Here is an 18,637-nt window from a genome sequence, read left to right as displayed (position 1 = left end):
TGGCCCCTCACCCTCAGGGAGATGGCCCAGGAGCAAGGCAGAGCATGGTCAAATGCACAGAGAAGGGTCCACTCCGTGAGGGTCAGGGAGTCAAGAAAGGCTTTCCTGGGAGACGCACTGGCGTTGGCCTCCAAGGACAGGTGGGATTGCATGGGGAGAGACTGGCACAACAAAAGTTTTTTTTTTCATGCCAACTACTTTGGTCAAACAAAACATTTTAGAAAAACATTTTATGAACTGTTATCTGCTAGGCAGTGTGCTAAGTACTTTATATAAGCTGTCTCATTGGTTCTCACAACAACACTCTGAGGTAGGAGCGATTCCTTTTTTACCAGTGAGGGAACAGAGGCCCAGAGGAGTTAAGTTTGTCCAAGGCCACACAGCTAGTAAGCAGTACAGCCAGGACTTGAAGCCTGGTCCCTGATGACACAGCTCATACTCTTAACACCTCAGTCAGATATAAGAGCGGTGGAGTGGACGCTCCATTCCTGCGCCCTATACTTTTTTGAGTCCCCCAAGAAGGGCACAGAGGGCTCTCTGGGCTGCAGGGCTGCTGAGAGGTGATGAAGGCCACACCTCAGCCTCCAGCCAGACCTGCACCTCCAGATCGGAGGCATTTGGGCAGCAGTCTTGTTGCTGAGCCTCCAGGAAAGTAGATCCACAATTCCAAAGCAGGCCTTGCAGACATAAAGAGTTATTCTGCCATAAGAGGGTTCCGTGGCCAAATGAACTCGGCGACACTAGTGTGAACAAAGCTCATTGGGTTTACTTCCCACAGGACTTCCCAGAACCTGAATCTGCTAATGGGCCTTGTCAATTTCCAAGAAGACATAGAATAGTGTATTTCCCTACCTCCTCCGACCACCAGAGCCCTTCAGTCCATGTCCTTTCCTTTGGAGTACTTACTTCTTTTGGTTCTGCCTTTGATTTGAGTGGTATGTCAACCCCCTTGATAATTACAGCCTGCTGTAGGTGTGCTGGGGTGGGATTATCACTTTAAGGCCACAACCTTAAAGGGAAACCAGGCCCCCTGGGAGAATGTCATGCTGGCAGCAGTGGCTGGAGAGAGAGGCCCTTGAGGGAAAGGTAGAACTCAAGGAACCAGAGACAGGACTACCTGGGGAGTCTCCTTCGTTGCATCTTTTCTGTGCCAGCACCCCTTCTCCAGCCTTCTGGTATCAAACCTCAATCAGGTCAGTCCTGACGTGTGCTCACCAAACGTCATATCTCCTAAACTGGGGGTCACTTGGCCAGCAGCAGAAGTGTGCAGTCGTGGAGGCTACCTCCTTGCTCTAGCCCACTTGTGTACACTTTCCCTTCATTGTGGAAGGCCCTGCTGTGAGGAGCCACGCTTCAGAGAAGCCCTCACCTTTGCCATTTCGGAGGTATTTGCATATTTAAACTTAGCTGGAACTGCGGACTGAGAGCCTTTGCCCCACAAGCAAAGCAGCAGCTGGAAGGAAGGAGAGGCGGTCCTTGCAGGTGCTCTCAAAAGCCCTCTTCACAGGCGACCAATGGTTTTCAAGCCACTCACACAGCCCTTCTCAACTTGACTGTACATAAGACACACTTGAGAACCTTTAAAAACGACCTCTGACCCTGTAACCACCTCAAATTAAATTAGAATCTCGGGTCTCAAGCATCAGTAATTTGTGAAATCTCCCCAAGTGATTCTAATGTGCTCCCAGGGAGGCAAACTGCTGCTAGAGCCCAGCTCCTCAAAGTGCAGCCTGGGACCAGCAGCCCCCAGGTGTGGTTGGAAATGCCCCCAGGCCTACTGAATCAGAGCCTGCATTTTAATGACCCCCCCCCCGATGACTCATCTTCCCGTTAGAGTTCTAGGGCCTTGTTACCATCACCTGTGTCAGCATCTAGCTGCAGTGGCAAGCGTGTTGGGCCACGATTTAACCCTTTCTTGCCCCTTCCTACTGATCACCCCGGAAAGCTCGCTGGCCCTCGCTCTGTGTCTTGGCTTCCTTATCTGTTGTAAGGAACATGGCTGTGCTTTGGTCAAGGTTAGGCCAAGGTAGGATGTTTACATCCCACGTGACTCAGCATAGACCGCAGGCGTATAACTCCACTTGTTATCACAGCCATGTAGCTATAACGTGGGAACGTCATCACTTGGCTCTATGCCACTATTGTCTGTAAAAGGTACAACTGCCCTGTTGACCCTGTGCAGGTGCGCTGGTGCCCAGAGAAAGAGACAGAGCCAGAGATGTCCGTTTTTGGAGACGGACGGGGAAAGCCAGGACACAGCTTGGCCCCCTAGTGCCCAGAGAGTGAAAGAGTTAAGCTGCTGACCCTGAAGGCAGGGGAGAGCCGGTCACACAGCTGTATGTGGGAGCTGCCAGCTGAAGCAGCCCAGACAAGGCAGACAGTGTGAGAAAGCTGCTGATGTGAGCTGCTGCTGAATAAAATCATTCACCTGCCTACAGTCCCCTGAATGTTCTTTCTGCTCATCCACCCACTCCTTCTGGACCTCAACATGACCTTTGGCATAGTCGTGAACCTGACATCTGTAATATGTAGTCGTTGGACAAAGTGAGTCCTCGCTCTGCCGTCACCACCACCATCATCATCACCTCTCATTGAGGGCCTACTATGTGCAGCCAGGCTCTGAACTAGGTCTGTCCATGCTCTGCCTGAGTCTCTTCAGCTGTCCAGTGGGGACACAGGCATGCCTTGCTCAGCACTGTCCTCGTGCACAGAGCTCACGGCACTGAGGCTGAACCATGCAGCGTGAACTGTGCACCTCCCAGCCTGGCTCTTTTCCCCTCGCTACATCTTTCATTCCTCTCTTTAAAATCTTGTGCTTCTACTGAAGGTCTTTGTTTCCCAGCAAATATTTTGCAAAGGACAAACAAACAGAGCATTATTTTATGGTTTAAAGGGACGACTATGACAGTGTAAGGGCTATGAGTTTCAAGTGGATGTGGGAGTGTGCTCTAGGTCTCACATCCACTTGAGACCCACCTCCCTGCCTTTAGCCCCATAGGAAAGAATGGAGGGAAGAGGGGATGGCCAACAATCCCCTAATGGTATGCCAATCGTGAGCAATAAGTGACGTTGTCAGGACAGAGCTGCACAGAGGTCCCGATATAAAGATCTCAGTAGCCCTGATTCATATAAAGCCCCCTCCCCCAGCATCCTTCAATAAGTAGGATAAGTTTATAATAACCCAGACTCCAAGGTGTTCATGCAAGCTGGTTGTAGACAGTTGCCCTTTTCTGCCCTACATCCAATCCAACTTCCATAGGATTGAAGATTCCTTCTCTAGAACTCTTTATGGGCACATTGTAGGCTGAAAAGGACACCCACTTTTTTCCACCTCCCTGATAGTCAAGGTGCCAGCTATGATCCAGGCCTTACTTTGGGGATCTGGGCAGGAGGGTTATTAATTCTGGAGTGAGTAATATAAAAAAGCAGGCACAGAGGAGGCCCCTTAGGCCCACGAGGTGGCTGAGGGGGCAACGGGATGACAGTTTGCGGTGACAGGTCATCTGGCGTTGACAGGTATCCAGCATGGGATGTGGCCAGGCTGCCCATGGTAAGATCCAGCGTCTGAAGCTGTGTGGTCCTCACCTTCTCATTCCTGGGGAGTGATTTGTGCTTCTGGCTGCCTTCTCTTCCCTTGGTTCCCACCTGATTTCTGAGCTTCATGCTTCAAATTTACGGCAATTCTGTGAGCTACCCACACCCCCAAATACTTTCTAGATTACTTTTTCTGCTTAAATCTGCTGAAACGAAGACTCTGACGGAAGCTCACATTAACTGAGAAAGTGTACGAGAAAGCACTTTGTAAAGTACCCGGAAAATGTTCGTTGTCAATATCCAAGATCTCCCTCTAGGCAGAAAATCCTCACAGACACCTGCCCTCTCCACCTGTACCTGGTAGCTCCACAGAAGCTCTCCTCCACCTTCTGGGTCTGCAGGGCCAGGCCCCACAGATCTGTCCACCCTGCTCTATTAATAAATGCAATGTGATTGCTACTAGGGGCATGGCTTGCAGTAAGCTCTGCAAGGGATTAACATACTGTCTCAGGAAGGGTGAGTGACTTGGCCCTGTCTCATGGAGCAGAGCTGGAGCTAGGACCCAGGCTTGCCATCCCCAGCACCAGTCCACCCTGAGGTGCCTCGACACAGACGTTGCACCAGGCAAGGCTTCAGCTTGTGGCAGGTTTAATAGCAGCATAAAAATTATATGGTCTTTTGAATCACATCAGCGTTAATGCGCCGCAATGGTAACTACCACATCAAAGTGGGTTTCACATTTCCACCTTCATGCACTATCAAGCACGTATCATCTTAAAATAAACCAGCCGGGTCCTTGGAAGCTGTGCCATGTAGTCCAGGGCCTGAAAGCTCTGTGGCAGAGTGAGGGGAAGCCCAGATATGCCACTTCTAGCAATTATCCTTATAGATTTATTCCCACACATGCATGACCTGAGCATATATAGTTATTCATTGCCGCAGGGAACATAGGGAAACAGTCTATGTATCCATCAGTAGGGGATTGGGTAATGCTCACACAGCAATAGATTATCAACTGGAGTATCAATGGATGTTTCTGCAGCTTAATACAAATACGGTCAGGCTGTGTTTGGCTGATATGGAAAGACCCTCGAAAATATTGTGAGGTGAAAACAGCAAGTTACAAAACTAGGTATAGTAGCCGTCATTTATGCAGAGAAGAAGGGGAAAAGAAAATATATGACTGTACATATATCTCTGGAAAATACAAAATACTGAAAGCTGAAATATTGATGGTTTCTGGAGAGCTAAACCAGGTGGTTGAGAGACAGGAGTGGGAGGGAGAATTTTCACAGAATATCCTTTTGTTCCTTTTGAATCTGGAACTATAAGAATGTAATACCTGTTCAAATAAAAATAAACACATGTGATCATTTTGTGGGGTGTTTTCGGGGTTTTGTTTTGTTTTGTTTTTGCAAATGACATTTTAAAAAATAAAAATAAGAACAAAAAGACATGGATTTCAGATGGCCAGATTTTAGCCCTCAGTTCGAGGGATATTTGGGGAACTGGGGACCCACTTGGATTTGCAGGCTGCTGTCTTGTCAGCAAATGGGAAGGTCAAGAGCAGCAGTCCTTTCCAGAGCCCCTTACACACCCAATTCCAAGTGGGCCAGAACCACCGGTGGGGCACTCAAGTGACCGGCACCCTGCCCCAGAGGAAGAAGGGCTTCGACAGAGCCCTGCAGGAAGCAGACAGAGGCACAGGAGCCTCCCCGCTAGGAGAACCATGCTGGTGACCCTCTCCTGTTTACACAGCTGCACAGGGCATGGCTGGTTCTCTATGAGCAGCAAGATAACCAGGAAGGCACCAGCCAGAAAATATCACCATACCTAATACTCTACCAAGTGGGTGACGTCCTCTTTGGTTAGGGTGTTCCCCTGTCCTGAGACCCACTTTCAAAATATACACCCCTTGGCCATGGATGAAGGTGTATCCCACATACTATCTCTCCCAGTAGCTTATTAAATCTTTTCTCCCAGACAGGAGGAGTCCAGGTAAAATGATAGCCCCTGCAGTGGGTTGAATCGTGGTCCTTCCAAAAATTATATCCATCCAGAACCTCAGGATGTGATTGCATTTAGAAAAAGGGTCTCTGCAGATGCAGTAAGGATCTCAAGGTGGGAACAGCCTGGATTTGAGTGGGTTCTAAATCCAATGACAGACGGGTGCAGTGGCTTACACCTGTAATCCCAGCACTTTGTGAGGCTGAGGCGGGTGGATCACCTTAGGACAGGAGCTTGAGACCAGCCTGTCCAACATGGCAAAACCCCATTTCTACTAAAAACACAAAAATTAGCTGGGCATGGTGGCATGTGCCTGTAATCCCAGCTACTTGGGAGGCTGAGGCAGGAGAATCTCTTGAACCCGGGAGGCAGAGGTTGCAGTGAGCCGAGATCACACCACTGCACTCCAGCCTGGGGGATAGGGCGAGACACTGTCTCAAAAAAAGAAAAAAAAAAGACAGAGAGAGAGAGACAGGACAGGAGACACAGAGAGTAAAGGCACGTGATGCTGGAGGAGACTGGAACGATGTACCTTCAGGCTAGGGAGCCCCAAGGATTGGTGGAGCCACCAGGAGCTAGAAGACGGGCATGGAAAGAACCAGACCTGCAGACACCTTAATTTTGAACCTCTGGTCTCCACGGCTGAGAGAAAATAAGTTTCTGTCATTGTGAGCCACCTAATCTGTGGTATTTTGTTATGGCAGCCCCAAAACCTTTGCTGAGGAAGAAGAGGGGACTTGGGGCACTGAGGGTCACTTCAAGGACTTCATAAATCAATTAAGGGCTGCCCCTGCTGCCGTGTGGCTCTGGGAAGGGAGAATAGGGTGTCCTGTTTGGTTGGAGAAAAATGCCCAGGGAAGGCTGGGCCACACTTGTGGTCTGGGGCAGCTCCTTCCCAGTTCCCTGCGCAAGAGCCTTCCCTGCAGTTGCCTAGGGAATGTTTTTCTCCACCGGGGAAGGTGTGCGTTTTGCTGCACCAAGAAAGGTGTGCGGCCCTGTCGCTAGGAAACAGGGAGCCGGGCCTGTGGGCTCCCAGCCTGGAGCAAGGCAGATGGTGACAAGATTAAATAGTGCCTTTCATTTCAACATAGGAAATGTTTTCAATTCTCCTCTCTTCATGTCTCTAAAAAAAGGCAAGTGCGGAAACGTCCCACTGGAAATTTATTAACAAAAGCCCAGGCAGCCCAAAAAAGCCAACTTTTTTCTTTTCACACATCTCTCCAACCAGCCTACAGGCACTTTGAGTGGAGGGCCTTGCCCCATTGCCATGACGCTCCAGGCACCCCAGGGAGCCTCAGCCAATCCTCACAGCTACTCACAGAGGTAAGGCTTATTGCTATCCCATTTCATAGATGAGGAGACCAAGGCCTGCAGAACAAAGTAATTGGTTGGCAAGTTGGGAAGCTGGGATTTCAACCCATGCATAACAGTGCTAACCTTTGCTATACACGCCCTCATGATAATGTTTGTGAAAGTATTGGAAATGACGAGGGCAGTATAAATCCAGAATCTCATCATGGTTAACAGGTCTCAGCCCAATCAGGCTGCTGTAACAGAATACCATAGCCTGCGTAGCTTAGAAACAATAAAATTGATTTCTCACAGTTCTAGGGGTTGCGAAGTCCAAGATCAAGGCACCAGCATATTCAGTGTCTGGTGAGGGCCTGTAACCTAGTTCATAGACGGCTGTCTTTGCACTGTGTCCTCACATGGTGGAGGGAGGTGAGGGAGCTCTCTGGGGTCTCTTCTATAGGGCCACCAATTTCATTCATGAGGGCTCTGCCCTCATGACCTAATCACCTCCCAAAGGCCTCACCTCAACAGCATCACCTTGGGGATTAGGTTTCAACATGTGAATTTGTGGGGGACACAAACAAACATTCAGTCTATAGCATAACACAGGACAGTGAAGGGTGAGCACAGTGAAGAGGAGACAGCTTTGTTTTCACTGCAGATTAACTTCTGGCAAGGAACTGAGTGGGCCAGAAGACATTAGACAGATGTGAAGATTAAGACACTGCAGGTCAGAGCCCACCAGTTGGGTCAGTGTCTCCTGACTAGGCCATTTCTGGTACAGCTTCAGGCCCCACATGACCCAGTCTCCCAAGCTGCGCAGCCAATAGCAGTAACTGGCCAGAGCTAGCCAGGGCAAACACACTCCCTGGCACAGTCTTCTGACTATTGTGTGCTTGTAGTAGAGTAGAGTGAAAAAGAACATTTCAGATCCCTAAGATACCTGGAGTCAGGTGCCCAGATTGAAGCTGGGTCATTGGGAGAAAGGTGGGCAAAGACTAAGAAAGGGGGGAAGATTTGGGTTAGGTTTGAGATCCATCAGGTTGGAAGGTTAGAGGGAGGAGGAGCTGGGCAGACATGTTCACAGATATGCCCTATTCTTCCCCAAACCTTACCTCCCTCAGTCCTAAAATAAGTACTATCTACAAGTGGATCATTCATATAACAATAATCCCTTTGGTGTTTAAAACTTCTCTCCTATCCAAGTGGTTTCACAGCCATTGTCTCATGTGATGCTCAGCTCAGTTCCAGGAGGTGAACACAGCAAGTGCTACTTCTCCATTTTGACCATGGAGAAAGTGAGTTTCAATCCATCTTATCCCAGCCTCCGGGTCCCAGTCTATTGGGGGTAGTGTCAATTCTTCATTTGTAGTAACACTTAAAACTCTGCCTCCTTTTCCATTCTTTTTTTTTTTTTCCTTTTTGAGACAGAGTCTAACTTTGTCACCAACGCTGGAGTGCAGAGACATGATCTCAGCTCACTGCAACCTCCACCTTCCAGGTTGAAGCGATTCTCATGCCTCAGGCTCCCTAGTTGCTGGAACTACAGGCACCCACCACCACGCTCAGCTGATTTTTGTAGTTTTAGTAGAGATGGGATTTCAACATGTTGGCCAGGCTGGTCTTGAATTCCTGGCCTTGAGTGACCAGCCCGCCTTGGCCTCCCGAAGTGCTGGGATTACAGGCATGAGCCACCACGCCCCACTCCTTTTCCATTCTTAATTCCAGTATCTTAATTCAGCTTCTCATAAGGTCAAGGCTCCTGCCTCTGCCTTTAGTCTCTCCCCAGGCTGAGGTGTCTATATGCTGTCCCTAGATTATGCTTCCTGAAGCACCACTTTCATCATCATGACCATTGTAGCACTCATCATTGATCCTTAACAACCCATCAAAACTGAACGCCACTGCCTGGCTTCCAAAGCCCTCTTAACTTTGATGTCACCCAACTCCATTGTGTTATTACCTTTACTTTACTACGTGCACTTGCTGCTCCAGCCATTCCACTCTCCTCTCTGATTCACAATTCACGATGCCCGTTGCTGCCTCTATGCCTTTGCTCATGCTGTGCTCCCTCCTGGACTGATGTCCCTTCATCCACGGACAACTCTCCAGTTGCTACTTACCCTTCAGGATACAGAGCAAGTCAACCTCTTTCATTAAACCAATCCTAGTTATCCCAGAGACTGTTCCCTCCTCTGAATTCATACTTACATACAGAGCATGACACCTGAGCCCTTGGTAGCCAGCTTCTAGGATGGCCCCCCAGTGATCCTCACCTCATGGTCCTCATACCACTGTATAGGCCTCTCCCTCATTGAGTAGAGTCGATCTGTGTAACCAACAGGACGTTACAGAAATGACATAGTGCGAATTGAATTCCAAGGCTAGGTCATATGAGACATTGTGATTTCTAGTTTGTGCTCTCTTGGATTGCCTCCTCTGGAGGAATATAGCCACCATGTCAGGAGGACACTTAGCCCTGTGGAGTTCTTGTGGTGATGAACTGAGGCCGCTAGGCAGCAACCAGCACTAACTTGGCAGGCATGTGAGGAACCATCTTGGAAGTGGATGTTCCCCACCCGCAACGTGATGCCTTCTGCTATGTTATAATGCAGCAAGAAGGCACTTGCCAGATGTAAGCCCCTAAACCTTGGACTTCCCAGCCTCCAGAATTGTATTACAATAAAACTCTGTTCTTTATAAATTACCCAGTCTCAGACATTCTGTTACAGTAGCACAAAATGAACTAAGACATACCCCTTCCTGTGACCAATAACCCCACCTCTACTTCTCAGCAACTCCCACTGGTTCCAAGTGGTCCTGTTAACATCTGCTTAGCAGCTGTGCCTGACTTCTGTGTGCCCCACGAGGCAGTTAAGAATATCCATTGTTAGGCCAGGCATGGTGGCTCATGCCTGTAATCCCAACACTTTGGGAGGCCAAGGCAGGTGGATCACTTGAGGTCAGGAGTTCAAGACCAGCCTGACCTACATGGTGAAACCCCATCTCTATTAAAAATACAAAATTAGCCAGGTGTGGTGGCACAGGCCTGTAATCCCAGCTACTTGGGAAGCTGAGGTAGCAGAATCACTTGAACCCAGAAGGTAGACGTTGCAGTGAGCCAAGATCATGTCATTGCACTCCAGCCTAGGCAACAAGAGTGAAACTCTGTCTCAAAAAGAAAAAAAAAAAAACAAAAAAAGAATATCCATTGTTGCTCACTGCTGTGTGGCCAAGGCTAAGCCCAATGCCTAGGGCAGAGTAGGTGCTCAATTACTATTGGATGAATGAATGCACAGTGATTAAGTGGCTATATATCTTCTCTGGGCTTCTGAAGGCTAGGAAGTTCAAGAGTGAGGGGCTGTCATCTGGCAAGGGCCTTCTTTCTGCACCATCCCATGGAGAAAAGCAGAAGGTCAAGAGAAGGCAAGAGAGTGAACCCCTAGACCCAAGCCCTTTTTATTTATTTATTTATTTTTAAATTTTATTTATTTATTTATTTTGAGATGGAGTCTCGCTCTGTCACCCAGGCTGGAGTGCAGTGGCGCGATCTTGGCTCACTGCAAGCTCTGCCTCCCAGGTTCACGCCATTCTCCTGCCTCAGCCTCCTGAGTAGCTGGGACTACAGGCACCCGCCACCACGCCTGGCTAATTCTTTGTATTTTTAGTAGAGACAGGGTTTCACTGTGTTAGCCAGGATGGTCTTGATCTCCTGACCTCATGATCTGCCTGCCTCGGCTTCCCAAAGTGCTGGGATTACAGGCGTGAGCCACCGTGCCCGGCCTATTTATTTTTATTTTTTATTTTTTTATTATTATTTTTTGAGATGGAGTCTCGCTCTGTCGCTCAGGCTGGAATGCAATGGCGTGTTCTTGGCTCACTGCAACCTCTGCCTCCCAGGTTCAAGCAATTCTCCTGCCTCAGCCTCCTGAGCAGCTGGGATTACAGGCGTCTGCCACCAGCCTGGCTAATTTTTGTATTTTTAGTAGAGATAGAGTTTCACCATGTTGGCCAGGCTGGTCTCGAACTCCTGATCTCAAGTGATCTGCCCGCCTCAGCCTCCCAAAGTGCTGGGATTACAGGCATGAGCTACCTCACCCAGCTCAAGCCCTTTTTATAATCAACATTAATCCATTCATGAGAAACCCTCGTGACCTAAACACATCCCCCTTAGGCCTTATCTCTCAACACTGCTCCATTGGGGATTAAGTTTCCAACATATGACTTTTGGGAGACACATTCAAACCAGAGCATTTCTGCAGGCCTTTACAAAGCCAGTAGGTCCAGTGCATGGTGCCCATAAAAAGGCACAGTGACACCTGAGGCAGGTTTTCCAAAGCCATCCAGGGTAGAGGGGGAGGCACCTGGCCATGGGAACTTCCATGTTGCCACAAAAGCCCTTGGGAGTCATCCTGACATGCTGCAGTGGTGAGCATGTAGTGCTGGGCTCAGCATGGCAGATACCCACCTGCCACCTGGGCACTAAATATAGCCCATAACAAACCCTTCTTTGCCTGGAACCTGCAGAGTTGGCTTATTTGGCTGGAACTGCTACAGAGAGAAGCTCTGTTAAAACGAATTGAGAACTGGCTTCTCCCCATAATTCTAGGATGCTGAGATTCATAATTAGACAATGGATCTTTCCTGCCAGCAACACAACATTGCTGGCCTTAGTCACTGATGAATCCTCCAGGTTGGTTGCTTCAGGTGTTGAGGAGAGGCTGGTGTAGGTGTCCAGAGAATACTCGCATTTTCCAGTGTCCCAACAAAGTAGGATTTTTCTCCCCAGTGTTCTGTTCCTTAGTTATGGACTGACTGTGTCCTCCCACTGGGATACATATGTTGAAGCCCTAACCCCCAGGGTGACTGTAATTGGAGATAGGGCCTCTAAGGAAGTAATTAAGGTTAAATGAGGTTCTAAAGATGGGGCTGTGATCTGATAGGATTCGTGTCCTTATGAGACCAGAGTTCACTCTGTCTCCTCACTTGCACAAGAAAGAGGCTATATGAGAGCACAACATGATGGTGGCTGCCTACAAGCGAAGAGGAGAGGCCTCATCATAATAAATACTACCTTGTTGGCACCTTGGTCTTGGACTTCTAGCCTCCATAACTGTGAGAAGTAAATTTCTGTTGCTTAAGCCACCAGACTGTGGTATTTTGTTATGAGCTGACAAATATACTTAGCACCTTGCTTCTCTGGTCTTTGAACCAGCATTACCAAGCCCAACTCCGGGCTTACCCAACCACAGTCTGCATTGCAACAAGATGCCCAGATGATTCAGAAGCACTGCTTATGAAAAGGTGTTGGGCTCCTGGGAGGGTCTGATTGGGCTAGCAGTCATTTACTCTTCAATGTGAATCGGAGCCTAAGCGGAGGTGCTGAACACTTCAGGCTGGGAAAAGAGAACACTGTAGAACTAAAAATAGCTGGCCTTTCTGCTTTGCTAAAGAGGAGTCTTGCATGACTCGACTTATGGGTAGTCCAGGGCTCTGAACTCAGTTGGTCTAGCTGTGTATATGTGGTGATGGGGAAGTCCTTTAATGTCCTTCAGTTGATACAGGGATATGATTTGTCCCAAAGGAAGGGTAGTGATGCATCCTGCATTGTTGAAGAACTGATAACAGATTTAGACTTCTCTACTTTTCATATCCACATGCCTTGGGTGACTGTTGGCTTTGGAGAATTTAATTCCATTTACCAACTCTAATCAACTGGTAATGGCCACTTGGAATGCTGCGCTGAGAAAGAGTCTAAGGCCTCCACTGGTATCAGTGAAAAATAGGACCTTGATGAATTAGCAATATTGGCCAAGAGCATGGGATGAGGGTAGGGGGACTACCTGGTATCTGTTAATTCCACTCTGAGGCAAAAGGCACTTAGAATTGGTACGTGAAATAATTAACCAAGTAATTAGGTCTGATTCTGCCTTCTATTATTGTTTATTTATTTGCCATTTTTTGTCATCTATTTATACAAATAACATTCCCTGACTTTACTCATAAAGGAAAAATAAGCAAAAATAACTAGAAAAAATTGTGGAAAAGAAGAGTAAGTAGAGGGAATTAGCCCAACCAGAGAGTACCATAATTCACTGATTCTGTTTCCTGTTTGTTGTTGTTGTTGTTGTTTTTACAATTACACATCTCTGAAATCGAGGTGTGTCTTACATCCCTGTCATCGAGGTGACAGTCATGACGCAGTTGTCCTCACCTGTCCATATACACAGCACTAGCCAAGATTGTTGGAAGCTTGGAAGAAGGCCTGGAGGCAATAGTAGGGCACTCTTTTAAAAAATGCTGTACCATCAAACGAGCACTCTTGAAGGCACAGAGAACAATGTTGTTTGGAAAAACAAGAACATCAATGGTCAGAATCAAAATAAGATTCAGAAGAGATAAGCTCTGAATATGAGGAAATTTTAGGACTACCGTCAATTTCAATTTTGCTTATCTTTTTAGGTTTTTGTTTTTTGTTTTTAGCAGAGCCTTGCTCTGTCACCCAGGCTGGAGTGCAGTGGTGCAATCTCAGCTCGTTGTAACCTCCACCTCCCACACTCAAGCGGTCCTCATGCCTCAACCTCAGCTGGGATTGCAGGTGCGCACCACCAGCCGGGCTAATTTTTCTATTTTCAGTAGATTACAGCTGGGATTACAGGTGTGAGTCACCGTGTCCAGCTTCATTTTTCTTACATGTTTAAATGTATGTCCAAGTATCATATATGATCAACTTCTATGTCTACATAAGTCTAAAGCTTATGTAAGTCTTATAGAAGTTTAAGTCGATAGGTTTATATACAGTTATTCAAAGAAGATGCATTGGTAGAGACAGGAGTCCTGCTGTGTGTTCAAGGAACAGAAGGAAGACCGGAGTGCCCAGCAAGAGTGGATTCATGGAAGAGGATAAAGATCCAAGAGTTAGCTGGGGACCATGTCAGGTAGGCTTTTGGGGCTTCTGTGGGACTTTGGGAACCACTACAGGTTTTGCACAGAAGAGGACATGATCAGACTTACATTTTAAGAGCATCGCTCTGGCTGATGAGAGGAGAGTGGACCTGGGGTCAGGGGGTGAAACCAGGGATGCCATGGAAAGATGGATTAGGAGCTATTTCCATAGCCCGGGGAGAGACAGATGATGGGACGGGGAGCTGGTTCAACTCTGGGTCTATTTGAGAATGGAGCTGACAGGACTTAATAGGCGTGGATGTCGCAAAGAAGAGAGGAGTCGGCTGGGTGCAGTGGCTCACGCCTGTAATCCCAACATTTTGGAAGCCTAAGACTGGCTGATCACCTGAGGTCAGGAGTTCTAGACCAGCCTGGCCAACGTGGCGAAACCCCGTCTGTACTAAAAATACAAAAATTAGCCAGGCATGGTGGCAGGTGCCTGTAATCCCAGCTACTCGGGAGGCTGAGGCAGGAGAACTGCTTGAACCTGGGAAGTGGAGGTTGCAGTGAGCCGAGACTACGCCATTGCCCTCCAGCCTGGGTGACAAGAGTGAAACTCCGTCTCAAAAAAAAAAAAAAGAGAGAGAGAGAGGAGTCATCAAAGACATGGAGTTCTGACTCGAGCTATAGAGAGAACGGAGCTACTGTTTCCCGAGAATGTTGTGGTGGCAGCAGGTTCTGGGGAGCAGCAGGAGTTTGGGTTAGGAAGTGCTATTTTCAAAATGCAGATTAAGCTTCCAAGTGGAGCCCCTGAGAGGACACTGGCTCCATGAGTCTGTAGTTCAGGAGAGGGTGCCAGGCTAGAGATACAAATGCCACATTAGTTTCAGCCCAAGCTGATATGGAAGCCCTGAAGCCGATGAAATCAGCGTGGGACAGAGAAGGAAAATGTGTCTTGATAGAACAGGAGGGGACGCTGCGACAAAGAGGAGGGGAGGGGAAGGCAGGAGGGGCCAGAAAAGGAGGCTGAGAAGGAGTGGCCAGAGACATAGGGGAGATAAAGTGAGAGATCCATGGACCAGAACAGAAATCCCAGAAATAGGCCCAAATGCAGAAGTTATAGGAATGTAACGTGCACGAAAGGCAGCATTTCAAACCAGGAAGGAAAGAGAAATTATTCAATATATGGGGTTGCCCTCTGCGAAAAAAATGAAGTTGGATTAGTATACGTTTCAAATGTGTCCAGTATCTAAATGTATAAATAAACAAAATTTAAAAGCACATACTAGAAGAAACCATAAGGAAATGAATTTTAGTAATCTTTTGTTGGTGTAAAACAACCTAGAAAGCTATAAAACAGTGGTACATGTGATTATATAACAAAGACTATCTGCATGGCAAACTATCTTCAAAAAAGTCAATAGATAAGTGACCAATTGGGAAAAATATTTATGACTCATATAGGGCTAAGTGCCATCACATTTAGAGGTTCTAAATCAACAATGATCACGATAATAACAAGAATAAAAGAACAATAAGCCAATAAAAACATGGGTAAAGATTGTGCACCAACCACTCAAGGAAAGAGAAATACAACCAGCTTTAAGTCTCTGAAAAGATGCTCGAACTCACTCACAGTAAGAGAAATGCAAATTAAAGCTACACAAGAAAGCAGCTTTCACCAACAGATTTTTTTTTTTTAAAGAAGGGAAACCACTCAGGCTGCATCTTCTCTGTCTTACTCTGCTGGAGGGAAATGAACGCCCATCAATGCCAAATAATGTGTGTGTGCACACATTATACATAATAATTATGTGTTATAATGTATAATTATACATTATACATTATAAATGTGTGTGTGCACATGTGTGTTCCCCAGCTCTGTCCCCTAAGAACACCTGGAAACAGTGACACCCTAATAGCAGTGAGCACATCTAGGGACCAGGTCTTGGTTTTTGAATACCATTTTTCATAAAAGGAATGAGAGCTCCTTGGAGAAATGGCTGATTCCAGGGCTGGATCAAGACAAGTATAAGGTGAGCCCAGAACCTTTCTTTAAGATTATGATGATGTTTTGAAGCTATTACTAGTTCATTCAGTTCTTCACCAGTATTAAAATTATTTTTCCCAGCACTTTGGGAAGCTGAGGTGGGAGGATCGCTTGAGTCCAGGAGTTTGAGACCAGCCTGGGCAACACAGCAAGAACCCCATCTCTTTAAAAAATATAAAATAAATAAAATACACTGTTTTTTAAAAATAACAACACTTAACCATAAACTTAGTGTTTACTATGTGTTAGGCACTTTTTGACATTATTTTGATTAATCCTTACAATAACTTTAAGAAGTAGATTATCCTACCTTATATGTAAGAAAACTGAGGCTTACCAGTAACTTGACCTAGTGTAGTTGACCCATCTTGGGTTCCCCACCTGCCTCACGCTGATTTCCCTTTCCTGGCTGTGTACCCCATCCTCCGGCGCCCCTGGCAGCCTGCCCTGTACCATGTAACTGTACCCTGTAGCCTTAGCTGGTTGGCCAATGAAGGAATTTTTTTTTTTTTTTTTTTGAGGCAGAGTTTTGTTCTTGTTGCTCAGGCTGGAGTGCAGTAGCAAAATCTCAGCTCACTGCAACCTCCACCTTTCAGGTTCAAGTGATTCTCCTGCCTCAGCCCCCCAAGTAGTTGGGATTACAGGCACCCGCCACCATGCCCGACTAATTTTTGTATTTTTATTAGAGATGGGGTTTCACCATGTTGGCCAGGCTGGTCTCGAACTCCTGACCTCAGGTGATCCACCCGCTTTGGCCTCCCAAAGTGCTGGGATTACAGGTGTGAGCCACTGTGCCTGGCCCGACCAAGGAATTTGATACTTGAACCAAGCTGGGTCAAACAGTCTTGAGACAGATGAAAATGTAAGACTTAAAATTAGAGGCCAGGCACAGTGGCTCAACGCCTGTAATCCCAGCACTTTGGGAGGCTGAAGCGGGTGGATCACCTGAGGTCAGGAGTTCGAGACCAGCCTGACCAACATGGTGAAACCCCGTCTCTACTAAAAATACAAAATTAGCCGGGCGTGGTGGCAGGCACCTGTAATCCCAGCTACTCAGGAGGCTGAGGCAGGAGAATTGCTTGAACCCAGGAGGTGAAGGTTGTGGTGAGCCGAGATTGTTCCATTGCACTTCAGCCTCGGCAACAAGAGCGAATCTCTGTCTCAAAAAAAAAAAAAAAAAAAAAAAAGACTTTAAAGAATGAGAGAGAGACACAGAAATCATTAAGGTTGAGAAAGGTTAGTAGCAACACTCTGGAAAAAAGGCTCCTACTGCTGAGTCATGGTTGTCAACCCTTCCATGTGATCTGTAATAGTTAGTTTTATGTGTTAACTTGACTGGTCTATGATATAGCTGGTAAAACATTATTTCTGGGTGTGTCTGTGAGAGTGTTTCCAGAAGAGATTAGCATTTGAATTGGTAGACTGACTAAGGAAGATCGTCCTTGCCAGTGCAGGTGGGCACAATCAAATCTGCTGAGGGCCTGAATGGAATAAAAAAGCAGGGGAAGTGTATATTTTCTTGCTGTCTGAGCCGAGACATCCAGGTTTTCCCGCTCTTGGATATCTGTGCTCCTGGTTCTTGGACTTTCTGACTCAGACCAGATCTTATATCCTACCCATCCCCTTCACCTCCCCCCTCCCACTCCCTAGTTCTCCAGCTTTGGGGTTTGGACTGGAATTGCACCACTGCTGTTCCTGGGCCTCCAGCTTACAGATGGCAGATTGTGAGATTTCTCAGCCTTCATAATTGTGTGTGCCAATCCCTCCTGGTAAATCTCTCTCTTTCTTTCTCTCTCTCTCTCTCTCTCTCTCTCTGTATATATATATATATATATATATATATATATATCCATCCTACGGATTCTGTTTTTCTGAAGAACTCTAATACATTCTAATAAATTCACCCTTTTTGGCTTAAGTTCGCCAGAATCCATTTCTATTGTTAGTAACCAAAGTAGCCTTAATGAATAAGCAAGAATCATACATGGTAGAGATGGGATTTGAACTTTGGACTCCAAAGCCTTGTTCTTTTCCAGTATACTACACCATTCACTCCTGGGAACCATTTATTCACACTAACAAGTATACATATCCAATATCCACAGCTCTCTATTCTAACAAAGTTTTTAATGGGATAATTCCAGCCCCAAATCAGTGTGGTCATCTTGTTGGGAGAGATCATATGAAGAATCCACTGGGAGAGTGAGCCCTGTGGTGACACAGAGAGGCCCAGCCATCCCAGTGTACCAGGTGAGATGTTCCTGCCATGATGGCAGACATGTGAGTGAAGCCATCTTGAATGTTTCTGCCCCAGGTGCCATCTCACTGTGAACACCTGACAGGCAAGATCAGCAGAAGAACCATCCCGCTAAGCCCCAGGCAACTCACAGAATTACAAGAAATAAGATGGTTGTTGTTTTTAACCACTAAGTTTTGGGATGGTTTGTTTTGCAGCAAAAGATAACTAAAATTGATGGCTTCTTTGGAAAGATGGCATGTGAGATGAGAACTAAAAGACTGAGGGGAGGGGGCGCTGGGGGACGGCAAATCAAGGCAGAGGTGTCAGGAAGGAGCTCGGTACATTTGAAGAGCTGAAAAGGCCAGTGTGGCTCCCGTGTAGAGCAGTGGGGAGGGTGGTACCAGATGAGGGAAGAGAGATTATGCAGGACCCTGTGCATCTCAGAAGGAGCCTGGACTTTATCTAACTGCAACAGACACCATTGAATGAATTTTTGTTTTTACATTTTTTGTAGAGACGAAGTCTCACTATGTTGCCCAGGCTGGTCTTGAGCTCCTAGACTCAAATGATCCTCCCATCTCAGCCTTCCTAAGTGCTGGATTACAGATATGAGCCACCGTGCCCAGCCC

The 18,637-nt window shown here is 46.9% G+C and overlaps 1 protein-coding gene across 18 annotated transcripts in view; it reads right to left on the bottom strand.

The window, feature by feature from the left end:
* Nucleotides 1-18,637, bottom strand: part of MSH2 (mutS homolog 2) — a 306,764-nt gene that overhangs the window by 53,096 nt on the left and 235,031 nt on the right. The gene's annotated exons all lie outside the window — the stretch shown is intronic.

The sequence above is a fragment of the Homo sapiens genome, chromosome 2, assembly GCF_000001405.40.
Source record: "Homo sapiens chromosome 2, GRCh38.p14 Primary Assembly".
NCBI lineage: Eukaryota > Metazoa > Chordata > Mammalia > Primates > Hominidae > Homo > Homo sapiens.
Note: the sequence above shows the minus strand (reverse complement) of the source record. Positions and strands in the feature narration are given on the sequence as shown.